Below are 27,710 nucleotides of genomic sequence, written 5' to 3'. Positions count from 1 at the left end.
CTAGCGTGCCTACTTGGATTTTGGAGGCAACACCTTCCTCATTTGAGTGTGCTACTCCAGCCCATTTATTGAGTGACCTGAAAGGTTTCCAGTTTTGAGTGGGTTCCAGAACAGGAGAAAGTTCTGCAGCAGGTCCAGGCTGCTGTGCAAGCTGCTCTGCCACTTGGGTCATATGACCTAGCAGATCCAATGGTGCTTGAGGTGTCAGTGGCAGATAGGGATGCTGTTCAGAGCCTTTGGCAGGCCCCATAGGTGAATCGCAGCAGGGGCCTCTAGGATTTTGGTACAAAGCCCTGCCGTTTTCTGCAGATAACTACTCTCCTTTTGAGAGACAGCTCTTGGTCTGTTACTGGGCTTTGGTGGAAACTGAACATTTGCATATGGGTCATCACGTCACCATGCGACCTGACCAGCCTATCATGAACTGAGTGCTTTCTGACCCATCTAGCCATAAAGTGGGTCGTGCACAGCAGCATCCATCATCAAATGGAAGTGGTATATATGTGATCAGGCTTGAGCAGGTCCTGAAGGCACAAGTAAGTTACATGAGGCAGTGGCTCAAATGCCCATGGTCTCCACTCCTGCCATCCTGCCTTCTCTCCCAGCCTGCACCAATGGCCTTATGGGGAGTTCCTTATGATCATTTGACAGAAGAAGAGAAGACTAGGGTCTGGTTCACAGATGGTTCTGCACAATATGCAGGCACCAACTGAAAGTAGACAGCTGCAGCACTATAGCCCCTTTCTAGAACATCCCTGAAGGACAGTGATAAAGGGAAATCTTCCCAGTGGGCAGAACTTTGAGCAGTGCGCCTGGTTGTGCATTTGCATGGAAGGAGAAATCCCCAGATGTGTGATTATATACTAATTCATGCACTGTAGCCAATGGTTTGGCTGGATGGTCAGCGACTTGGAAGAAGCATGATTGAAAAGTTGGTGACAAAGAAATTTGGGGAATAGGTAGGTGGATGGACATCTCTGAGTGGTACAAAACTGTGAAGATATTTTTATCCCATGTAAATGCTCACCAATAGGTGACCTCAGCAGAGGAGGATGTTAATAATCAAGTGGATAGGATGACCCATTCTGTGGACACCGCTCAGCCTCTTTCTCCAGCCACCCCTGTCATTGCCCAGTGGGCCCATGAACAAAGTGGCCATGGTGGCATGGATGGAGGTAATGCATAGTCTCAGCAACGTGGACTTCCACTCACCAAGGCTGACCTGGCTACGGCCACTGCTGAGTGCCCGATTTGCCAGCAGCAGAGACCAACACTGAGCCCTCGATATGGCACCATTGCTTAGGTAATCAGCCAGCTACTTCGTGGCAGGTTGATTATACTGGACCTCTTCCATAATGGAAAGGGTAGAGGTTTGTCCTCACTGAAATGGACACTTACTCTAGATATGGGTTTGTCTATCTGGCACACATTGCTTCTGCCAAGACTACCATCCATGGACTCACAGAATGCCTTATCCACCATCATGGTATTCCACACAGCATTGCCTCTGACCAAGGCACTAACTTTACGGCTAAAGAAGTGCAGCAGTGGGCTTATGCTCATGGAATTCACTGGTCTTACCATGTTGCCCATCATACTGAAGCAGCTGGATTGATAGAAAAGTGGAATGGCCTTTTGAAGTCATAATTAAAACATCAACTACGTGACTATATTTTGCAGGACTGGGGCTAAGTTCTCCAGGAGGCCGTGTATGCTCTGAATCAGCATCCAATATATGGAACAGTTTCTCCCATAGCCAGGATTCACGGGGCCAGGAATCAAGGGGTGGAAGTGGAAGTGGCACCACTCACCATCACCACTAGTGATATACTAACAAAATGTTTGCTTCTTTTTCCCGTGACATTATGCTCTGCTGGCCTAGAGGTCTTAGTTCCAGAGGGAGGAATGCTGCCACCAGGAGACACAACAACAATTCTATTAAACTGGAAGTTATGATTGCCACCTGGACACTTTGGTCTCCTCCTACCTTTAAGTCAACAGGGTAAGAAGGGAGTTACAGTGTTGGCTGGGGTGATTGACCCAGAATATCAAGATGAAATCAGTCTACTACTCCACAACGGAGGTAAGGAAGAGTATGCATGGAATACAGGAGATCCATTAGGGCATCTCTTAGTATTACCATGCCCTGTGATTAAGGTCAATGGGAAACTACAAGAGCCCAATCCAGGCAGGACTACAAATGACCCAGATGCTTCAAGAATGAAGGTTTGGGTCACTCCACCAGGAAAGAAACTATGACCTGCTGAGGTGCTTGCTGAAGGCAAAGGGAACACAGAATGGGTAGTAGAAGAAGGCAGTCATCAATACCAGCTACAACCACATGACCAGCTGCAGAAATGAGGACTGTAACTGTCATGAGTATTTCCTGCTTCTTTTGTTAAAAACATGTTTGTGCATGTGTACACGTATACTAAGAAAATATCTTCATTTCCTTTCTCCTTTATCATGTGACATAAGATTTATTGACTTCACATCAGCATTTAAATATTGTTAACTTTATGTAATAGCTTTGGGTTGGGGATTGGTGAGTTTCAGTTGTGTGAAGGATAGTTGTATTATGTTAGGCATAATTATAACCTTATTATTGTCTTTATTTGAAGATTATGTATGATCTCAGGAGATGTATATGGGTTCAAGTTGACAAGGGTTGGACTTGTGATGGTTAATACTGAGTATCGACTTGATTGGATTGAAGGGTACAAAGTATTGATCCTGGGTGTGTCTGTGAGGGTGTCCCTAAAGGAGATTAACATTTGAGTCAGGGGCGGGGAAAGGCAGACCCACCCTTAATCTGGTGGCCATAATCTATTCAGCTGCCAGCACAGCTAGAATATAAGCAGGCAGAAAAATATGAAAACAGAGACTGGCCTAGCATCCCAGCCTACATCTTTCTCCGGTGTTGGATGCTTCCTGCCCTCGAACATCGGGCTCCAAGTTCTTCAGTTTTGGAATTCAGACTGGCTCTCCTTGCTCCTCAGCCTGCAGACAGCCTATTGTGGGACCTTGTGATCATGTGAGTTGATATTTAATAAATTCCCCTTTATATATATATATGTATATTCCATTAGTTCTTTCCCTCTAGATAACCCTGACTAATACACTAGGCAAAGTACCTAACTTTACTGACTCTCACATTTCATTTCCTTATTTTAAAATATGAGGATAATAATATCTGTCTAATCTACTTTACAAACACCATAAAGTCTCAAATAATATATTGTTAAAATCTGGCCATATAAATGCAAAAACTCAAATATAAACAATTATTGCTATGCATAAAAAGGCAGGGACTATATAAATCAAAGGGGGCTTTTAAACAATGCATTTAGATGGGGACAAATGAGATCGCTTTGCCTTCCAGAATGATCAAGAACTAGAGGAGATTACAAGATTAACATGCAAATGCCATAGGTGAAAATCAATTCATTTCTTGCCTATGATGCATTTGCCATTGCCACTGAGGTCTCATGAATTTTCTGGTTTTGTACAAAGCTTTTTGTAATCCGATGCCTGATTCTGCCATGGGATAGCATGCTGGGGGCATATGAGGTCATCTGAATGTACTGTTATGAATGTACTCTCTCGTGAGTAATTGTACCCCACAACATAATGGACTGCCCAGTTACTATCATGTAATGATGGTAGTACCAGTGAAAGAGTAAAACATGTTTACAAAATTCACGGCTGCTTAACAAGGGCTTTTGATATACCAATCCAGGCTATTATTACAAAAGTGGATGTTGACTACTCACAATTTGCAGGAATCAGGACAGAGTCCATGCCATAGTGCTATTTTGCTTTTCCTTTCTCTGACTCTGAAGCGTTTAAAGTGGTGTGAATTTTCCTGAACAGCATTTCAACAATTCACATATTATTTGGTTTTGAAAACTCCATGCCTATGGCTGCCTCCTCCCCTTTCAATTCCATTGTGTTGGCTGCATTCACACCTCCAGTGCAAATTCATTTATAGTCTGGGCACCAGCAAACTAGAGTGGCTTGAACACCCTACAGGGAAGCAATTATTCCATCCAAGGCGTCTTATTGTCCTCATCGTGCTCCTAATTTCTGCATAATGTAAATGTGCATTTGCCACTGCCTATTATTGGCTTGCTGCTGACACCACAGGTACTATTATGAGTGGGCCTGGCTGTCTCTCTTTTTCTTCTCTGAAGAGTCAGGTTGGCATTCTGATGTTTGAAAAGGGATAGCACAGAGGAGATTGGAAGCCAGTTCTTGGCATGCTCTTAACAAAGCACTTTGCACTGGATTAGAAGTCACATATTCCAGGCCGGGCGCAGTGGCTCATGCCTGTAATCCTAGCACTTTGGGAGGCTAAGGCAGGTGGATCATCTGAGGTCGGGAGTTCGAGACCAGCCTGGTCAACCTGGAGAAACCGCGTTTCTACTTAAAATACAAAAATTAGCTGGGCGTGGTGGTGGCACGTGCCTGTAATCCCAGCTACCAGGGAGGCTGAGGGAGGAGAATCGCTGGAACCCAGGAGGCAGAGGCTGCAGTGAGCAGAGATCATGCCACTGCACTCCAGCCTGGGTGACAGTGCAAGACTCCGTCAAAAAAAAAAAAAAAAAGTCAGATGTCCTGGGTTACTGTTCTGCTTTTACCATTTACAGGACATGAATAAATCATTCAATCTCTCTGAGGCTCAGTTTCTCACTTGAAACAGAGAGTTTCATTGGCCTAGTGAAGAAGTCTTACATCTATTCCCTAGATATAATCTCATGCCCAGTCATTTGGGAATACCAGAAATGCAAAACAGTACACTTATTATAGACCTATCATAATACATTTAGATAACATGATTTTAGTTAACATAAATGACATTAATTATGTGGCATCCTTCCTTCATGCTGTCAAATTCTTGATGTCTGGAGATATGAGGATGAACTGCTCCCAGGAAACAGGAATTGTAAATGGCTGGACAGTATGCAACAAGGCCCTCTAAACACTCAGCCTGTACTGGAGGAAAGTCACAGAAAAGAGGGGAAGTAGGAAATACATAAATCCTCTGCTGACCATCTTATTCTAGGCACTGCACAAAGACAGCAGAGCCGGATGTCAGACTCTGAGAGAGTGATGGCTGGGCTCTCTCTGCATGATCAGAATGTGAAGCACTAGCTTTTCTTTGGCATGATCTTGCTCCAGGATTCAATATAAATTTGATGCATCAAATCTTAGTACCTGCCTCATCCTTCCAATCAGTGTGCTTGGTTGGGGAAAGAGTTTCACAGATACAATTAGCATCCACTAAATTCCATGTGTTTTCTTACATGTCCCAGGATCCCTACAGTTAGGCTGGGGCCTTGTGGCTAGTTCTGGCCAACCGGCTAGGAGCACATGTGTTGGTACACTTGTGGACTGTGTCAATAAGAACCAATCCACCTCTGCCAAATTGCTTTTAGCCTGCTGTGGCAGCATGTTCCAGGTGATGAAGCTACACAATAGATCTGGCTTTCCAACCTACATTGCACTTGACTTGAGCAAGAAAGAAACTTTTGTTGTTTTAGGCCACTCAGAATTTGAGGCTTGTGTGTGGCAGTAGCTAGTGTTCATTATCCCAGCTAAGACAGTATAAAAAATATGGAAGATTGAGGAGCAGCATTTGAAAGTGACCTAGAGAAAAATACAGTTCTTAAGGAAGAACTTTCCAAAAGAACTTTTCAAAAATACAATAGGTTAGTCAAAAAAAAGTATTGATCCATCCAATGGGTAGTGAGCTCTGGGTCACTGCAGTGTTTAAGAAAAGTTTGCATGAATGGGATACTGTGTAACAACTGCTGAGGGTCTTCCTGCTGCACCTATTTCCCTAGATTTTGGGGAGACTCAATAGGATGGGGCCTAGTACATGAATGTAAAAGAGTGTTAACTCATAAATGACGGGTTTATGGCAAGTGCACCAAGCATGTTTCTCCTTTACCAAAGTCAACTTACTCTTTCTGTGATTTCTAAGAAAGAAAATACTTGCTGTCCTTTTATAGAACTACTAAACGAGAATGAATTTGACACAGGCATCAGGCAATTTTCTTTCCTAATTTACTACATTTCTTTAAGTCCTATTCTACTCTTGTCTTTAGGCAGCAGCCTAAAACTCTTAATCTAAAACACCACAGAGTATCCCATCTTTTAAAAAAGTGAAACTTTAGTAGCTTCTTTTGACCCCTATTAAGAACCAAAGATTTACTGGCATTTTGCAAGGTGGCCCTAGATCCTTTCAGAATGTTCTTTGCTGTTTAGAGTGTTGGTAATGTCTTTTTGCTCTCTTAAGCTTATGCCACATAAAAGCAACTCACCTTCAATAACCTTCACTGGTTAATGCTTAGAAAAGGAATTGACATGGTAGTCAAGGTGATCACCAGTCAGCAGACAATTGAGACTACTGTTCTCACCTTGAACAAGGTGTTAGGGGCATTATACAGGTGAGAGAACAGACTCAGACCCGAACACTGTGGTGGAGAAAATTCAAGATACAGGTGGTGTGCAAACATAGCATATCTGAATAAGAAAACTGTCCACAAACCAGGAACTGTCCAGAGGGGAAGTTAATATTTCCAGTATAAACCAAAACAATTTTTGAGAAAGGAATGGAATATAATATTAATGATAGAAGAGGCTTAGAGCTCTTTTGGTCCAAATCCCTCAAGTTTCAGAAGTTTGAAAATTAGCAAATATGTGAAGGGGTTCTCTTAATGTCACAGAATTAATGACAGATCCGAGACTAACACTTGAGCCTCCCAATTTTCTGTCACTGCCTTTTGTGTTATACTACTCAGGTGTTCCTTGGAGATGTACCATGCAGATGATTTTGGTAAATCATTCACCTAAGAAGAGGCTGACTTGGGTTACGGAGTTACTACTACATTCATTCATTCATTCATTTTTGTTCCTAACCTCAAGGAACATCCATTCTTATATGGAAATAGTGCTCACTGATCCAAACATTGCCTTAGAGGAGAGATTTCCATATTTTTTCCTGAATAAGCACACCAGTGCTTTACGGGGCTCATATCTTATGCAGCAGTGGTCCACGGTGTGCCCACATTCTTGATTTCTGTTTCTTTACCTCATCGCATAGAGGATTCAGCTCACCTGCTCTGACCTTCCAGAGCCCCTCAGGGATAAGGAAGTTGGATAGTCATCCCAGGACCATTTGGGCAGGTTGATACCCACCTTTCTTCCAGGATTATGTGGATCTTAGAGGGCCAAGCTCTTTCCAAAAAAAGCAGTGCTCTCATCCTCACTCAGGACTTTCCTTTCTGGGTCCCTGGATTCTGTCTGGCTCAGAGAGCAAATAAATTACTGTGAAGTTTCTTGGTCATGGCCCTGGCAACTGCTCTGCTCAGGAAGGAGGTTGGCAGATGGTCTGGTGCTGTGAGGCAGAGAAGCAAGTACATGTTTTAAGATCACAGGGTTTCCAGGGTTTCAGTTTGAATCTAAAGTTTAGTTCATATTTTTTTTTACTACCTAAAGATTCCCTCCCCACTGCTTCACAAAGAGCTGCCTTATTTGAGTTCATAGGTGAAGATACAGCTGCACGGGTACCCTGCTGTAACCTCTCATTTGCGCCTGATACATCACATGGGGTCATGTTGCCATGAACACCAGTTGTTAGTGCCATGTGAGGGGACTGTGTCATTTTCTGGGCAGAGTCAAACAGCAGGTAAGGTCAAAAACCAAGGGTGCTACCTTGTGGGATCATGGAATGGGCATGCTAATAGAAAGGATGGTCAGTCTGAATATGCCAAGCTGAGAGAGGGAAGAGACACTCCACAAAGCAGATGGAAGGCTGCAGACAAACAGAGAAGTCAAAATTTAGATGAGACAGAGAAGGAAGAAGAGGGACAGAGTCACCCATGAGCTGTACAGGTTTGGTGCTCTAATGCTGTCTTTATCAGGGAGGCCTCTTCAGAGATGCCCACTGACAGAGGATGAGGCTGAGAACTGCCCAAGCCCTATAGTACAGGAGCAGTGGTACAAACAGAAATAAGCATCAGGGAAATTTAAGTTGCTGCAGGGTAGCTAGATCCCCTTCCAGCTGAATGTAAGATCTGGCTCTGATGTTAGTTTATGTCAGTGTCTACTACAACACTTCCCAGCTCCCTCCACACCCCCTGCCCCCCCCCACCATATACCCACAAGATCTGTGTATGTGTGTACTCATACATATCTGCATGTGAGTTAAATTAAATAAGCAGAAGGCCAATAGCCTGAGGCCATCTCCATACTTTGAGTTCCTACATAAAAATCTGCCACCTAATTTATACATAAACCAAAATTTAGGAGCAGATTTTGTGTAACAAATAGACAGTTTTCTGCCTTTCACAAACTGCTGAGCTTCAGCCAATTTTAGGCAGCTAACTGATCATACAGTGGCCAAATAAAGCAAATGCCTAGCTATAGCCAGTCAGGTGATTTCTCAACTTTGCTTCTGTGTTTGGCCCCTAAAGCCTCACTGCTCATGCTGTTGGGTGGAGTTCTCTGGACCTCTCCTGATTTTGAATGCTGCCTAATTCATAAATCCTTTTGCTCAAATAAACTCTGTTAATTTTATTTTGTCTGCAATTTTTCTTTTAATGTACATACGTATGTAGATATACACAGGCATATAGATGCATGTGTATATATATGAACACATGTATGTATTTATATATGATATTTGAATATATACAGTTAGCTTTCTGTATTTGTGGGTTACACATTCATGGATTCAATCAACTGCAGATTAAAAATATTTTTTTTTAAATTGCGTCTGCACTAAACAGGTACAGACATTTTTCTTGTCATTCTTTTCTTGACAATGGAGCATAACAACTATTTACCTAGCATTTACATTGTATTAGGTATTATAAGTAATCTAGAGATGATTTACAGTAGATGATAGGATATGCATAGATTATATGCAAATACTACACCATTGTGTATCAGAGACTTGAGAATCCACAGATCTTGGTATCCTTGGGCATCCTGGAACCGATTCCTCAGGGATACCAAGGGAGAACTGCATATATAAAGTGTACTTAGTTTACTACTCAAATGTATATATGTTTTCCCTATATTTATGTTTAATTATTTATTCAGTAGCCATAGAGTGTTGTGGTCACTATGGTGAGGGTGGGGGTGAGGTGGGAAAAGTTTTGCAGAATTCCAAAACCTGTCCTAAACTTTAGGCTAAACTCTTTGGTGCAAGAGAGTTAGGTTTATCTGGGTACACAATCTCAAAATAAATAAAATAATGTTAGAGACATTCATTCCATTGATTTGTCTCTTCTTCCTATTTGACTGTATGTAGATATCAGGTTTTATCAAGCTTGCAATAAAATCCTGATTTCATGTCAAGCTACCAGATTTTAATGGCTTTCTATTGCACTTACCATGAAATCCAAACTCACAGCCATGACTCAGTGAGCCCTGCATGCTCTGGCCTCTCTAACCGCATCTTCCTCTGCTTGCCAGATTCCCACCACTCTGGCCTCTTTCTGTTCCTCAAACATTCAAGGACTTTCACCACCGTGGGCTTTTGCGTGCATTCCTTTTGTCTGGGATGCTCTTCCTCTAGTTCTTTCATCCTTCGGTCTCAACTAACATGCCTCATTGGAACAAGGAGTCGAACTGCATTTTTTTTTATGTTTAACCAAGGACAGCTTCAAGTCCCACTCCTCTGGGCAAGCCAATAAGAAAACCGGCACATTCACTCCACACAGGTACAGGGGAAATGTCGAACCATACAGCCCCAACCACACCTGGGGACCCTTGCCTGGGCCCCACCCTCTAACTGCAACACAAAATCAAGCCACATCCTTCTTCCTTTTCTCAAGCCGTTTCAGATCAGCTCGAGTGTCTGCCTTGCTCTCCACTGAAAGCCTCTTTATGTGAGTAAATAAACCTTTTCAACCCTCTCAATGCCTGTGTGGCTTCATCCACATTGAAACCAGTTTTGAGTAGGACGTTTGATCTCACCTTCTATGGTGCAAGCAGAAGACACACCCCCTCAGACAGGCCTTCTCTACCAATCAGCCTAGAACTTTGCTCACATTTTCCTGTCTCATCACCATTTTCCAGTCTCATCACCATTTTCCACATCATAGTCTTCAAAAAAGTCTTTTAACACTTCAATGTGCCAGCACTCAGCCTTTCCATGGAGTGTAAAACTCTAAGAAAGACTTCGAAGCAGCAGAGTCCTTGGGTCTAAAGAGATCATGCAGACAGGAAAATGGTGTCACAGAATAACTAATGTGGGCAGGGGACTGGTGGCCTCCCCAGACCTGAATTCTACATCAACTCAGGCCCTCTTCATGACTCAAGTTGAATTTCCTTTCAGTCTGGTCCAGAATTAACTTGCTCTAGAAAAGAAATATATGTGCTATTTCTTGCAGACTTGAGTTTGTGGACTATTATTTAATACCTGCTACTCTAGTGATTTATTTAATTTATTAAATTGGCATGATACTCAATGCTGTTATTCATCCTTTGGTATTTGTTTTGTCTCACCCCAGCTATACCAAAGGCTCCTGAAGAACTGTAATCTTTTTTTTTCTTTTTTGGTGTAACATGTCTGCATCTTTTATAGGTAAATAAAATGTTTCCAGAAGGACATTTTAAAACAAAAAAAGGAAACAACAATGCATTGCATACTTCAAAATTGTTAAAAAGTAGATTTTAAGTGTTCTCATTACAAAAAACTGAAATGGCTATGAGGTAATGCATATGTTAATTACTTGAACTGAGCCATTCAACAATGTATACATATTTTGTCTTTTTTTTTTTTTTTCCTTTTTGTAATCAAAAGAAAGCTAGTTTTTTTTGCATTTTTTTCTTCAAAAATGTATATTTTTTGGAAAAATTTAAGTTCTGGGATATATGTGCAGAATGTGCAGGTTTGTTACATAGGTATACATGTGTTGTGGTGGTTTGCACCTATCAACCCGTCATCTAGGTTTTAAGCCCCACATGCATTAGGTATTTGTCCTAATGCTCTCCCTCCTCTTGCCCTCCACCCACCGACTGGCCCTGGTGTGTTTGTTGCCCTTCCTGTGTCCATGTGTTCTCATTAGAACTGTGTAATTTCAGATCTTAGAATTTGCAACATGTAAACAACAACCAGGTTTCTGCATGCAGAAAAACGAGAAACGCTGTCTGATATAAAGACTTTAATTCATCTCATGATTATCACTGCCCTCACAATTGATTTATTTACTGGGAAGTAGTTCATGCATTCAATCATGCAACAGTTACACAGACAAGAGAAGATACGTGTCACAGAATGGGAGAAAAACAGTGGGCCTATTGTTAGGGGTTGCCTGACTCATGGCTATCATTTATAAGAATAGTTACCATTTGTGTGTCCTTAATAGGGTAGGGCTCTGCTGCAGTCTTCCCTTGTTTTGTTCCAGTGCTGTATGTTGGCAAAATGAGAAATGCCATTTCAAATTCAAATATACAAAAGTCTTCATTAATAAGGCAGGAGACAAAACTGAATATAGAATATTATTGTACAGTCCCGAGCTACCTAGAAATGGGGATGCCTTCTGAGAATGTGTTGTTAGGCTATTTTGTCATTGTGTAAACATCATAGAGTATACTTACACAATAGCAGATGGTATAGCCCACTACATACCTAGGCTCTATGGTGTAGTGTATTGCTCCTCGGTTACAAACCTGTGCAACATGTAACCACAGGCAATTTAAACACAATTGGTATTTGTGCATCTAAACATAGAGAAGTTACAGTAAAAAAAAAAAAAAAGGTATAAAAGATAAAAAATGGTTATAGCTGTATAGGACACTTACCATAAATGGAGCTTGCAGGACTGCCCCACACAATTTAGGGTGTGGAAACATATACTACAGTATATGTACTATATAAATTTTGTAAAATGTAAAAAATTCCAAATTACAGAATAAATCTGTCCTTAAGATTGATGCACCCTGTACATTTTCTTAAATGAACTAGTTTTATGGTAACAATAGAAACATTTTTAAAATCAACACACAATGATAAAAATAATAATAATTGGTTATTAAAATAATTAAATAATAAAGTGTCAGCAGAATACAGTGGCAGATGTGCTTCACAGAGTTTACAAACTTTACAGGATAGGGAGCTATATGGCATGTTTGAAGCATTGCTTTTTGATACCTGACATCCCTTTATTCATTAAGCAGATAAGCACCTCATATACTCATAGTACTCAAATTACTAAATTACTAAAGTTACTTGGAGATGGTGAAAAATCACACAATTGTTTCATAAAGTTTCCAACCAGATATTAATTAACTGGAAATTAATTTGTATAGCATGATTTAGATGTCGATATGGATTTTGCCAGGGTTAGCAAACTCTGGCTTGTGGTCCAAATCCTGCCCTTCACCTATTTTGGTAAATAAGTAGCCATGCCTATTTATTTACATACTGCTTTTGTGCTGTGAAAACAGAATTGAGTTTACCTCGCTTGCAGAGCCTAAAATATTTTCTATCTGGCCCTTTACAGAAGAAATTTGTTCACCCCTGATTTACAAATTTATTTGAATATTCCCTAATTAACTGGAAAAATAAGTTCCAGTTTATTATATGATAAATGCTCTATGACTCATATGCTATGAGACATTTCTGATGATTGGATTTCCTAGAAAAGTGTGGATTGCATCGAAAAGATTCAAAATTGGTGGAATATAGCCTAAGCAGAAATGATTTACTGAGAGGAGAATTATCATTGAGGCAAATTGTTCATTCTATGTGGATTTTGCTGCTGACCTCACTATTGCCCTTCTTGGTGATTTCTGAGGCCCAGGTCTACCCACAGCACCTTGCCACTGCTTGTCCAAGTACTTGATGTGAAGAAGAACCTGGCTGAATGTACTTTAACATTTGAGAACTTGCCTTCCTGTTATTATTGCATGTTCAACTTCAACGGCTTATGGTACCTGTGAACCTCTCACTGAAACAATTGAACCAAGCCAAACTTTTTTTGTTTAATCATTTCATAACTACTTAGATTACAAAACAAATCCTGGCTTTATGAATTGTGCATCTGAAGAGTTTGGGTTATGTGACCACAGAAAGCAGAGTGTGCTTACTATAATTGTTGGGGAAATCAGTCTTAGATAATTTAGGAGGGTGGGGAGGGTAGGAATTAGCATCTTACAAAGTTGGTATCAATTAGTTTACCGTAGTGATTTGGTGTTTACGTGTTAATAGCACCATTTTAAAAAAAAAAAAAAAAAAAAGGAGAAAGTATTATTGGAAAGGAGCCATCCATAGGCAAAATTGTGAAGAAGAAATTTTCTCTTTGTCTCCACTTTACTGTCATTTAAAAAAAATTTATCTTTTCTGGGGGTAATTGTTTACTGACATTAATGATATTAAAGATAACTGTAATAATTATAAATAATTTAGTCTCTATCCTTTATTTGTTAGCTTCATACAGGCTTATGCTATCTTTAATTTTCACACAGTCTGCTATTTTGATAATAGAAACCAAGTCTAAGAAAGGAAATTGGCCAAAATCACATAGTCAAGAAGTGAAAACTAGGATGAACCAGGATTTGTTTATTTTTGCAAATCCTCTGCTCTATTGATTATTGGCTTTCCAGGACCTATAGTCCACTCAGTTCTGGTCTGTTTGGATAATGCCCTAGGCTCTAGGCATTGCCTGTTCACCTTCTCTCTATTTCCCATCATAACCACCCTCCAGATAGATTCCTGATTGTCAAGGATGAGATAAACTAAATCACCCTAGGAATGACTGGGATTGATTCACTTCTATATTTTATACAAAGTTACTGATGATCTCTTTTTACTAAACTATTTTGCCTACCTCTGGAATTGTGAAAATGAAGACAACATCTCTGCCTTCAGACAGCTCCTGGCTCACAGACATATAAACTGGAGAAATAATGACCATCTCTCCTCTCTGGTAAATCCATTTTACCAGTCACAGAGTTGTAATGATGGAACTTGATGCACCAGCCCACCAGCCTTATAAAAGCATAATAGAGGGGTGGAGGTGGGGAAAAGGGATGGTCCAGGGAGGGCTAGGAACTGTAGCAACAGGCTTTGCTTCTGCATAAGGCTGATTATATTAGAAAATGATCCATTTTAAGCAGTTACCGTATCTACAACATTAGTAACTTGGGCTTTAGTCATCTTATCTCTTATTAAAGTCTAAATTCTGATCAAAAATTGGCAAAGGATCTGAATAAACATTTCTCGAAAAGCACGTACAAATGGCCAACATATACATGAAAATATGCTCAAAATCACTAATCATCAGAGAAATGCAAATCAAAACCACAATAAGATATTACTATATACCTCATGAGGGTGCAGGGAAAAGAAAACCCTTGTACACTGTTGGTTGGAGTGTAAATTAGTACAGACATTATGTAAAACAGTATGGAGCTTCCTCAAAAAATTAAAAATAGAACTACCATATAATCTAACAATTTCACTTCTGGGTATATATCCAAAAGAAATCAGTATGTCAAACAGATATCTGCATTCCCATGTTCATTGCAGCATTATTCTCAATACCTGTATTAGTCAGTTTTCACACTGCTGATAAACACATACCCGAGATTGGGTAATTTATAATGAAAAAGAAGTTTAATGGACTCACAGTTCCATGAAGCTAGAGAGGCCTCACGATCATGCCCCCAAACTGTTCTCATGGTACTGAATAAGTCTCACGAGATCTATACCCAACATATGAACTCAATCTAAGCTTCTATCCATAAATGAATAAAGAAAATGTAGTATATATAAATAATAGAATACTATTCAGCCTTAATAAAGAAGGAAATCCTGTCATTTGTGACAACACGGATGAACCTGGAGGACATTATGTTAATTGAAATAAGCCAGGCACAGAAAACAAATACTGCATGATCTCACTTATATGTGGAATCTGAAAACATTGAACTCATAAAAATAGAGAGCAGGTCAGGGAACCACTTATGGAAAAACAAAGGAATAAAACCTCTGCTGGTTACCGGGGGCTGGAGAGGCAAGGACGGTTTGGGGAGATGTTGGTCAAAGGATACAAAATTTTAGTTAGGAGGAACAAGTTCAAGAGATCTATTGTACAACATGATGATTATAGTTAATAACAAAATATTGTGTTCTTGAAAACTGTTGAGACAGTAGAGTAGTTTTAAGTGTTCTCACAATAAAATAAGTATATGAGGTTATACATATGCTAATTTTCTTGAATTAGCTATGATGCAATGTATACATATTTCAAAACAACATGTGGGCACACAGTAAATATACACAATTTCTATGTGTCAATTTAAAAATAAAATGATAAATAAAAATTCACATTTGTTAATTTTGTAGGCTAGTAAGTTATTTCTCTTCAACAACATGTAGAATCACAATTTTGGTAAAACAGAAGGTAACATGACCCTTTAGTCTTGAGATTTTATCTGTTTCCTATTATCTTTTCTTTATTCCTTCCTCTTAAAAAATTTTCCATTTTTTATTTTTCTCCATTTTTATTTTTATGGATTTAGGGGGTACAAGAAGAGTTTTATTACATGGATATATTGCATAGTGGTGGTCTGGTCTTTTAGTGTAACTATCATGCAAATAGTGTACATCGTACCCAATGGGTAATTTCTCATCCCTCACTCTCTGCTTCTTGCTATTTCCTTGCAGTTGAGCTTATATTTCAGCCAATGGTTCTGTGGAACTTCTGTCAGAAAGTGAATTGAGAAGTTACTCTCAAAATATATAATTTATGAATTGAAATACTGAATAAAACACTCTTGCGAAGATATGATGCTTGAATATTTAGAGATCTTTTGTGTGTATATAGTGAAATATGCACAGATAATCTGCTAAAATTGCTCTACTTTTATTTTCTGTTTTGCCATGAATGCATCATTTCACTGCAGATAGAATGGAACCCATGTCTAACATGAATTGTTATGAGCTGAAAGTCTTCTGACTTGCTTTTTTTACATGATCGTGTATGATATTTCCATATATACACCACCAAATTTTCTTAAATAATTGCTACAAATAAATAAAACTACAAACACACTATTATTGTAAATACTTAAAATATGTTCAAAGACAGAATGGAAATCAGAGACATAAGCTGTTATGTGATATGGTTGCATATATTTTTAATGAGAGGAAGGTCAGCTTTTCTCAGCAAACAGGTGATGGTCACTCCAAAGAGAATACTACCTTGGGAATAGAAAAAGATGAGCTGAGCACTTTAAGGTGGTCTGCTTCTCAAAGTTTTCCAGGAATCCTTCATAGAGCTTAATGCCAAAGGCTGCTCTCAAGTCATTAATGAAATTGCTCTCTTTCCCTGTACAGTATTACTTTATGTTTATAAGTGTTTCTCTCCCTTCTCTTGTTACTTCACTTCCCAGAGCTCTAAATACTTTCTGCCTTCTAAATACTCCCTTATTAACCTTAAAGTGATGGTGAGGCCAGCAGGGGAATTTAGACAAGCTGTTTATCTTCTAAGCTCAGAAAATTCTATCACATCAAGGTCAAGTAACCTTTGCAAGTTCTCTGCTCATCAGAAATAAATTTGTACCTGCTGGCTTTGCACAAGGAAATGAGAAAAACTAAAATACTTCAGTAGTGGTTAACCCTCCTTCCCACTAGATGAATTGAAGAGTGTTCTCTAACTTGTCAGCTGAAGGGATCTGCACAGGCACAGTTTGAGGCCTGGGGAATCTTGGCATGCTTTTATCATGTGTTCTATTCACAAAAGTATTATTTCTTAAAAATACAGTCATGGGACAAAAACCTAATGTGTAAAAATGTGTTGTTTTTTATTTTCATTTAATAGAGTGGCTGTAATTGTAGAACACAAATATAAGCAGAGAAAAAAATAATGGAATCTGGAGATAGATTATGTATGCATAAAATGCTATAACAGCAAAAAGAAAAGGTTAATGTGTGTCTTAATTAATTTCCTCCATTACAGAGCTGTCCTCTTTGCTAGGCTGTGTCTTTGTTAGGTAGGCATAAGTTTGAGTTGTTTACATCAGAAAGGTCAGGGAACTACTTATGGAAAAACAAAGGAGTCCTAAAATCAGAAGGTGGGGGGAGTGTGTGGAATAGATGAGAGAGCAAAGCCAAGTTAGGTTAGAGGAACAGATTGGGCTACTGGCCTTGTTTCATGTGATACATAAATACATATACATATCTATTAATATATATTGTCTAAATAGAAAAATGCAAGCACACACAACTATTTGTAAGTATGTGCATATGCGTGTGTGTGTATGTTGAGAGACAAAGAGAAAGAAAAGGAATTTTAGAGATTTTGTTTGCAGATTAACATTTAATTTCCCTATTTACTTTCAATTATTTTTGGATTTTGGCCTAGAGTTTCATTTTAATCCACACTGATAGCTTTGCAAGTAGCTTAATTTTATTAAACTGAACCATATAAACTTGCTGATTTTCTTGTCAAAGATGGTCAAAGATTGCCAGTGTTTCCTGGCTCAACCTAATTTATGGGCCATGTTAGAGTTAGATTACCTAGTTCATGTATAAAGACTGGCTTAAATGTTCTGGGCACAGGAAGCCATATGCACAAAGGCTGGGAGGAGGGGAAGTCTGTGCATGGCTGAGACCTCTGCCCTGGAGCTGGTCCAGGGTTACCAGGGAGAGGAGCAGAGGATGAACTAACACCAATGATGCTAACATGATGATTGCTAGCATGGTCTTTCTTGTAGACACTGTGCCAAACACTAATAGAACGATCCCATTTAAACCATTCAAGGATCCTGTGAAGCAGATATTATTATTCCCATTTACTGATGAAGAACTGAGCCTGTGATCATTAATTTTATGTGTCAACTTAGCTAGGCTATGGTGATAAGTTGATGTAATTTACATGTAAATGATTAGATTTTGAGTAAAGCAGATTACCTTCCATAGGTGAGTGGTCTTCATCAAATCAGTTGAAGGCCTTAAGAGTAAAGCCTGAAGTCCCCAGATGAAGAAGAAATTCTGCCTTGAGACTGCCTTTGGAACCCAAACTGCACAATCAGTTTCCAACAGAATTTAAATTTCAGACTGACTTGCCAGCTCCTATAATCATATGAGCTATGGTTTTAATGTGTTCCCCAATACATATGCTGATTATAGGTGATGCCTTAGGAAGGTAATTAGGATTAGATAAGATCAGATAGGCCCGCATGATGAGACTGGTGGCTATATGAGGAGCACATTCTTCCTCTCTCACCTTGTGATGCCTTCTGCTATATCAGGAGAAAGCAAGGAAGCCCTTGCCAGAACTGGCTGCTTTGTATTGGACCTCCTAGCCTCCAGAACCATGAGCTAAATAAATTTCTGTTTATTAATTATCCAGTCTGTGGTATTCTGTTGTAGCAACAGAACATGAACTAGGACACCAATTCCTTAAAGTAAATCAATCTGTCTCTCTGTCTATGTATCTATCTATCTATCTATCTATCTATCTATCTATCTATCTATCTATCATCTATCTATCTCTCTATTATCTATCTATTTATCCATCCATCTGATTGGTTCTGTTTTTCAGGAAGATCCTCACTAATACAGAGCTTCAGGTCAGGTATCTGGTACATTGAGGAACAAGTACAGAAAAACTCGGGTTTTTCTGGGTCTGAGGTCCATACTTTAAATTACTACATCATACTACCCCCCTTAGTATTCACCATAGAAAGTGTCATTCTGTACTTCCATCGTTAGGGGATGTTTTTATTTCCCCTACTCAGCTGTAAACTCAAGAGGGCAAGAACTTTTGTATCCCCAGCAGCCAGCACAGTTCTTGTCACATAGCATTGCTGAACATATATTTGCTTTAGAATTTGGAACAAAAATTTATGGTAAGGTGCTTTGACAACTGTAAAGCATTATACAAATATGAGGTCTATATAGTAAAACATAATTTTTGTACAACTGTTTATAAGCAAATATAGAGTGCATATACTTAAAAGTCAGATTACTTTGCCCATGCCAATGTGAATTTCTAAGCCAATGTTATTATTACTTGATATATATATATCAAGTAATATATATGTATTTATATACATATATATTACTATATATATAATATATATACTAAATATAATAATATATATATGTAACTATTTGTCAGCAACAAAGGGTAAAAGACTGTCTCCAGGACAAATAATAAAATGGTATTTCTCTTCTTAACAGCTGAAAAAAGAAGTAGTAATCACAAACCATTTTCCATATGGGATAAAGTCAGCAGCCTTTAAGCTGGGAAAGGTAACTAGGTTTGATGTGAAATGCTAGCTCTGATTGATGAGCAGTGGCTTGTGTGGAGCATTTAAGAAAGATTCTGAGATGCCAGTTGGGCCCTGCAGCAAACAGTGCCATGATTAATGAGCAGTGTCTACCCTGGGCAAAGGATTGGAAGGTAGACAGCACAAATGTCCTTCCATCCCCTGCCCTAATTAAGCAATACAAGACTAGTTGCCTTAGTGTTTTTGGTGAGTTCGTTAGCCACGCTACTGAGGAGGAGCATGGGAATAAAGGTTCAATTTGAAAGGATATCCAGAATGAATTTCTTGAAACAGATGTTGTATTAGTCCATTCTCACATTGCTGTGAAGAAATACCCAAGAAGGGTAAGTTGTAAAGAAAAGAGGTTTAATTGACTGATGATTATGCACGGCTGGTGAGAGCTCAGGAAACTTACAATCATGGTGGAAGGCATCTCTTCACAGGGCAGCAGGAGAGAGAATGAGTGCAAGCAGGGGAAATTCCAGACACTTGTAAAACCATCAAATCTCATGAGTCTCACTCATTATCATGATAACAGCATGGCGAAACTGCCCTCATGATTCAATTACCTCCATCTGGTCTCATCCTTGACACGTGGGGATTATGGGGATTACAATTCAAGGTGAGATTTGGGTGGGGACACAGAGCCAAACCATATCAGATGTAAAGTATTTTAAGTGGTTAGATAAAGGTTAATTTCTTAATTAATTAACATATAATTGGCACATGCTATATTCCACCAATGATTGTCTTTCTTTAATAACCAATCAGATAAAATCAAATTAACAAATCTTTTTGAGGAAATGTTTGCTGGACTAGAAAAATCAGTTGTCAGAGCCCACGTCCAAAGCCCACACCTGGGTAGAAACATATACTATTAGTAGGAAGTATTTTAGCTTTAGCCTGTATTTCCCCATAAACTAGCCATTAATTTAATAGTTTTACAGTCAGTGGTTCTTACTTTTGCTCACATATTTATCAATATATTTGCACATGATTCCTTTTTACATGTCAAATCTTCTATCTGGAATCATTTTCTGCTCAAAATACATATATTTATTACATTTAGTGGGTAATCTTTTAGTGGCAAATTAACATTCATTTTTGTCTAAATCTGTCTTTGCTATTTGTTTTTGAAAGACAGATTTGCTTAAGGAAATCTAGGCTGACGGTGATTTTCTGTAAGTCTACTTTTTTGCAATCTTCTGGTTTTCATTCTTTCTGATGTTAAGTCAGAAATCACTCTGATTGTCATTCCCTTGTAGGTTATCTGTATTTTCTTGGAAGCTTTTAAAAGTGTTTCTTCTTTGTCATTTTGCAATCTCACTATTATGTGTCTAAAATATAATTTATTTTCATTTATTCTACTTGAGATGTATTGGCTTCTGGGATCTGAAGATCCTGCAATAGTTCTTAAAAGTTCTCAGCCTTTAAAAATCTTTAAATATTGTATATTTCCAATTTTTAAGCATCTTTTTCTGAATATCTAATTAGGCATTATTATAGCCCTTGTCGCTATCTTCTCTCTTTCAATCTATTTTTCATATTTTGCATCAAATTTTTTCATAGGTGTGCTCTAGTTATCTGATTCTGTATTCATAGGAATCTATTCAGTTATTTAGTCTCAAGTTTTTAGTTTAATTTTTAAATTTTCATTATTTGGTTTTACCTAAATATAATTTTATTTGGTTCTATATCGAATCTAGAAATTCTTTACTATGCCTTGCTCTTTGTTCATGCTTCCAAGTTTCTTTTACAAAAAAAAAAAAGTTTAAGTACATAAAACGTAATGTTTCATGTCCTTTATTTTGATTCTATGGTATATCCCTCATGGTGGCTTATTCGTGTGAATCCTTTGGATTTTGTGCTGTTAATGATTTATTTTCCTTGATTACATCTGTGTGAGATATTTGGTCAGTATTGAAATTGACATTACCAGAGAAGATTTACATTTATTTCTGCCAGTCTCTTCTGAGTGACACAACCAACTCAAAAACATTTTAAATGTAATTCTTAACCAAGATTTCTGGACCAGAAAGTGCAAATTTGGGGCAAAACCCATTTGAAGGCCAAGTTGAGGTCTCAGATCCTCAGAGTATATGTATTTTTTCTTTCATCCAGTGTCAAAATCAAGCCAGGAAAATTTACTTTTCCCTTTAATGTCATTTAGGTATCTGCTTTTTAAAGGAACCTTTTACTAGGCTTTCATTGGAATTTTTCTACTGCTTCCTGTGTACTAAGCCACTATTACATCAGAAACTTGAGTTCTCCTCTCCATATTTCAGCAGAAATCCTCAGGGCAAAGTCAGCCTTGGCAACCACTCAGACTTACTGTTTCACCTAATTTTTAAGATGTTTGGATTGCTTATTTGTTGTTGTTGTTTTTAACTTTTTTTGTGTGTTAACAGTGCATTTAAAATGATTCCTAGGAAAACATTTTCTGTGTCTTAAACAGAAAAGCCATTCAAGGTATATAACCTGTCATATCATTGAAAACAGAAATCAAAATCAAATTTTATTATACCATATTTTACTCAGACTTCTGTGGGAGACATTTGACTTGAAGGTATGAAGTCTCTCACACATGGAATTCTGGAATTCTGTGCAGGAGACCTTATTCGCTGTACAGTTGACCTTCATTAATGTGGGGGTTAGGAGCACTGCACAGTCAAAAATTCACATGTAAGTTTTGATTTTCCCCAAACGAAACTACTAATACCCTACTGTTGACTTATATTTCTGTTTATAGTATCAGTAAGGCTTCCTTACTGGAAGGAAGGACACATATTTTGTATGTTGTATGTATTATATAGTTTATTCTTACAATAAAATAGATAAAAAATGTTATTAAGAAAACCATATGAAAGGACATATATTTCCTATTCATAAAGTGGAAGTAGATCATCATTAAAAGTCTTCATCCTTGTTGTCTTCATACTGAGTAGGCTGAAGAGGAGGAGTTGGTCTTGGTGATTCAGGAGCAGCATAGCAGAAGAAAATCTTCGTATAAGTAATCATGCACAGTATGAACTGGTGTCATTTAATAGTCAACTGGATTTAGGGAGTTTCTTGATTTGGAGGTTGAAAGTGTTTGGGAAGAAAGACTTTCCCTCTTCTTTCTGAGGATTTGATAATTGAGTCTATGAAATAAATTGATAGCAGGCAGACTAAGAGGTGTACAAATTCATTATGTGCACAGGGATATCACATGAAATAAAAGTGAATACCCCCAAACCCGGTGAGGTATAAAAGCTTATATCCCCTTTTCATAGGAGAGAGGGGAGGAAGGATATAGGCTACTTAAAGGAGAGTAAATGGTTTTGGGATGTTGTGTTGCCCTCTCGTCTCCTCTCTTGTGGTCCAAGTTAATCCCCTGACCCTGGTTAATAAAATTCCTGGGAAGGGGATTCATTACCATTTCATTCCTTTTGTAGGATCCATCTTTAGGCAAATGATGTAAGTTCAGAGAAAGTCTCTCCCTGCATTTGCTGTTCCCAAAGTTCCCTCAGTTTGAAGTAATCAGCAGACCAATGTGGGATATTTCTGGGTGACGTTTCTTGAGTTCCTTCAAAAGCTATACAAGTATACACCACTTTATGAACTTTCGGTTCTACTGGACTCTGCAACATACAGGGGATTCACATTAATTCAAGTTAGAAGACTCCTTGAGTCATTCCTACCCCATCTGCTCTTGCTCAGGTATTATAGATTATGTCAGGGCAGGCGATGGAGAATATTGAGGTGTGTGGTACATGAGGAAGCAGCAGAGAAGCAGAGCCACATGGCTTTCATGGCCACATGGCTTTTGTAAAGCTTCTGCACACTACTGCCACATACACACTCTCTTGTTTTGGGACAGAGGACACTGTGACCATAAGTCTGTGCTAGGGAAGGTAGTCGGCTCATCACAAGGCACCCTCTGGTACAGCTGACCTAGAAGCAATTTCCCTTAGCAATTTTCCTATGCTCAGCTCTGCTACCATAATGGATAGGTTTCTATCATATGTTCCTTAGGAATGTTTTATAATATCAGCGTTTATAGTGTTAGAATTTATTTATTTTTGGCAAGGGACTAAGAAGTGTGACAATTTATTGTCAGTGAAGTTGAAGAGTAAAATATTCCTCACTCCTCAGTTCTGCCTCATGAATACTCTGTTCCAATTACTTGCGTCTAGAGGCAAGTGTATGTAAATAAAATTCTGACAAAGGATTACATCATTGCAAGTAAAATGCCTTGTATAAATCATGAAAACAATTTTTGGTTTCTAATTCTTCAAAACAGAATTATATTGCTTTATACTTTTTAACAATGATAAGTAGGCTTATAAATTTCAAACCAAAAATAAGGATGGCATTTGGAGTAAAATTGCCTTTTGTCTTTAACAGATAGATTAACATTTAAAGAATTGAGCAGGGGGCAAGAATGTTAGTGTCTGTGGCTCACAACACATATATTTTATCACTTTTTGGGGCTTTGGCCTCTTGCTGAGTAATTTTGCCCTGAGGGTTTTTATGTTATCTTTGAAGAATTTTCCTGTGCACTAGCAAGAGAGACCAAAAAGTCACATTTAGGCAGATGCCAAAACAGATAAAGGTATCTCTATTCCTTGTAACAATTCTCAATGTAAATTTACAGGGTACATAATTCAACTAGCTACACACGGCTTCAGATGAGATCTGAAGTATCAGGGAAGTAGTACCTCCTTAGCAGTAGAATTTTCCTTTAAGAAGAGCCTTGTTTTGTTTGATGTATACTCTGATAATTCTCTTTGGAGTGGGAACTGAGACCACCAAAGTGCAGACGTATGTATTAGGCTGTTGATTTATTGAGTAGAGCAAGCAAAGTGAGTGAGAGCCGAGTTTAGCTCTTAGGAAAACAAAGAGGACTTTTAAAGGCAGCAGAAGGCAACAGAGAAGGGAAGATAGATGAGGTGTCTTCAGGGTAGAGGCTTTTAGGAGAAAAAGGAGAGGGATCAATGGCAATCAATTTGGGTTTGAAGTGGGTGTTGCTACCATGTGTACCTTGTTTCCCATCTTCCCATGATGTCTTTGGTAGAATATCCATTTATTATTCATGTATTCTGGAATTAGACCTACCAATGTCCCGCTTCAAGGTTGTTATGAGTTAACTACAAAGGCTGCTCCCAAGGACCTTGTCATGCCCGAGTTTGCCATAGGTAGGACCGTGATGGACTAAAATGAGAAGATTCTTTGTGCAAAGTCATCTAGGCAGGAATAAGTAAATGTCCTCCAGGAATAGTGAAGAGTAATACTTTTCTTATTTGGGCTCTTAATAGAAGTTAGAGAGCAAATGTTTGAGGCTACATTTTCTCATGAGTCTCTAAAGTGCAGTTAAACTGAATTCTTGATTGGAAGCTCATTAAAATATTATAGATGTTGTCAGAAAGAGAAGAAGGTCAGTGCGCCTTTGTGGAAATTGAGGAGTCTTGCCAAAGTCATGGGGATGAATGACCATTCCAGCTCCACATGGAGACAGAAATAAAGAGCATGATTTCACTGCAGCATGCGGGAGTGCCAAGGAACATGGTAAGAGCAAAGGCTGGAAAAATCATCTGGAGCCGAAGCAGGAAAGGCCTGAGGGGACACAATTGAGTATTTGGGTCTCATTTATTAGAAAAAGGAAAGTCATAGAATATTAGTTTTGGGGTCGTTACTAGGATTTATAAAATAAGTGTTTTCATTACTTCTAAAAATCATGCATTATTATCATATACAATCAAATAATGTAGGAAAAATATTTAAAAGGAAAGTAAATATCTTGATGACCCAAGGTAGTGTCTGTGGATCACCACACACACATTTTCATCATTCCTTGGGTCTGAGTCCTCTTGTTGTGTAATTTGCCCTGAAGATTCTTATGTTATCTTTCAAGGTTATTTTCTGTTCAATAGCAAGAGAGAACTAAAAGTAACAGTTAGGCAGATGTCAAACAGATATAGTTGTCTCTATTCATCAAGGTAGCCTATACAGTAAAAATGTGTAACATAATTTTACAAGGTATATATTATTCAATCCAGTACACAGAGCTTCAGATCCTGTTCATTTAGATAGAATCTATATTTTGTTGTTTTTCTTGTAGAATGTGCTTCCATGTACACCCAAAGGCTTAAACCCATAAAAGTTTCATTATGATGCACATATTGTGTGGTCAGCTGATGCACTTTGCTTATCATTGGGGATTTTTGATTGAATATCTGCTCAACATAAATGTGGCCACTGAACTGTAGTGACCAGAGCCTGGAGTTACTGGAAAACCCAGGAGAAGTCTCAGAAGAAGGAGAGCCAGAGTTAGTTTAGTGTAGAGGGACTAGAAAAGACCAAGGAGATGGAGTGGGTACAGTACATCTGAGGGGAGAGGGCAGAGGAAGGCTTAGTGGACAATGCTTTCCAGATTTTGAATTTGAAACTGTTGAAAAGTTAACCAGAATAGAGGTTAGGATGGGTTGTGAATTTTGATAGAAAGTTGATAGGTTTGGTTTATTTATAGCTGTCAGCAAGTCCAGGTGAAAATGTCAGCAGAAACTGCAGTATTCCAGCATGGTAACCAGGCTACAGGGCAAGAATGGAGAAGGGAACAACTGGTTGAGTATTTGTTTATGCATACCTGATTTAGCCTTGCAAAGTAGAAATTATTATTTTATAGAGTAAGAAAGGCTCAACAAGATTAAACTATTGACCTACACAGCTACTAAATGGCAGAGCTAAGATGTAAACACAGGGCTCCAAATTCTAAACTCTTCTGTTTTAGTATACAAAGAAGTATTGAAGGGGTAAAATGAGGAGGGAAGATCATTGAAGGAAAAATGTATACAATCTTATATATGGGAATATAGGAATCTGTGTCTATATGTCTATATCTATATTATTTTACTGCCTTAATTCATTCCATAAATATATGTTTCAGTGTTTATTATGACAAAACACTGGAGATAAGAAAATAACACACTCCCTCAACTAAACACTGTTTCTACAATCATGGAGCTTACATTTTAGCAATCATGACAATGATTAGACTACTAAATATAAATTAATTACAATTGTGATGTGATGGTTAATTTTAGGTGTCAACTTGACTGGTGAAGGGATACCCAGAGAGCTGGTAAAGGATTATTTCTGGGTATGTCTGTGAGGCTATTTCTGGAAGAGATTGAACTTTGAATCAGTGGATTGAGTAAGGAAGATCTGCCCTCACTGATGTGAGCAGGCACCATCCAATAAACTGAGCACCCAGATAGAACACAAAGGCAGAGAAAAGGAAGAACTTTTTTTTCTTTCTCTCTCTCTCCCCCAAAGCTGGGTTACCTATCTTCTTCCACCTTCAAATATCAGAGATCCAGATTCTCCAGACTTTGTACTCTGGAACTTGCACCAGCAGCTTCCCAGGTGCTTAGGCCTCAGTCTCAGATTGAGTTACAGTGTAGGCATCCCTGTTTCTCAGGCCTTCAGACTTGAACTGGGCTATGCCACTGGCATCCCTAGTTCTGCAGCTTGCAGATGACAGATAGTGAGACTTCCAGCCTCCATATTGCATGAGCCAATTCCCCTAATAAATATCCTCTCATATACATCTACATATCCTATTGATTCTGTTGCTCTAAAGAACCCTGACTAGCACATGTGATAAGAGCAATAAGGGAGAATTAGAAGGCATTCAGAGAGTATTTAGCAAGCAGACTCAACATCCTTGGTCAAGGAAAATTGAGAAAGTGACACCCTTCAGATCTAAGTGTACGCGAAGAAAAAGGGAAGGAAAGTTGTTACAGACAGAATGAATGTCATAAGCAAATAGCTTAGTTGGGAAAGAGTTTGTTATAACTGAAGTTAGTATGGCTGGAGCTGGGAAGTAGAGGAGAAAGATCCTAAGAGGTGAGGTAGATGCAATGAGCAGCTCAGCTCGGGTCCTGCAGGGCTCTATAGGGCACATTTATTGTAATGGTAGTGAAGCCATTAAGGTGGATGGGGAGAGGAGTGACATGTTTATTTAGATTTATTTACTTAAAAGAACTCTCTGGTATGACTTGGGGAAGAAAGAATAAGTAGTGTGGTGAACTGTATTATCACTTCTAATTCTGAACTTCTTTCACAGTTATAGAATGATAGATCCTTACTTTTGTGACTTTGCATCCTCTCCCACTATTTTACGAGGAATATGTTTCCTCATGTACTTGATGGTAGGTTTGGCCATGTGACTTGCTTGGCCAACGGAATGTTAGTGGATGTGACATGAGCGGAGGCTTTAGCTGTGCTTGTATGATTTGACTTGGCTTCTTGACTCTGCACAAGTCATTAGAAGAGTATGCCCACACAGCCACTGGTCTAAGGATGAAACATACAGCAGACCTGAACTAAGCCAGCCCACTGACCTCAAGTGACAAAAACAAATGGTGGTT

General features: G+C 38.7%; 1 protein-coding gene across 2 annotated transcripts in view, besides 1 other annotated feature; it reads left to right on the top strand.

The window, feature by feature from the left end:
- EPM2A (EPM2A glucan phosphatase, laforin) overlaps positions 1-27,710 on the top strand; it is a 352,671-nt gene that overhangs the window by 163,094 nt on the left and 161,867 nt on the right. The gene's annotated exons all lie outside the window — the stretch shown is intronic.
- Positions 19,563-20,064: an enhancer, noted in NCBI's record as "NANOG hESC enhancer chr6:145874002-145874503 (GRCh37/hg19 assembly coordinates)". NCBI's record gives its function as "activates a minimal SCP1, AML or CMV promoter by ChIP-STARR-seq in primed H9 embryonic stem cells {active_cell/tissue: H9 hESC(primed)}" and the evidence as "EXISTENCE:reporter gene assay evidence [ECO:0000049][PMID:30033119]".

Source organism: Homo sapiens, chromosome 6 (genome assembly GCF_000001405.40).
Source record: "Homo sapiens chromosome 6, GRCh38.p14 Primary Assembly".
Taxonomy (NCBI): Eukaryota; Metazoa; Chordata; class Mammalia; order Primates; family Hominidae; genus Homo; species Homo sapiens.
The sequence above is the reverse complement of the archived record's forward strand: the minus strand, read 5'-3'. Positions and strand labels throughout refer to the sequence as shown.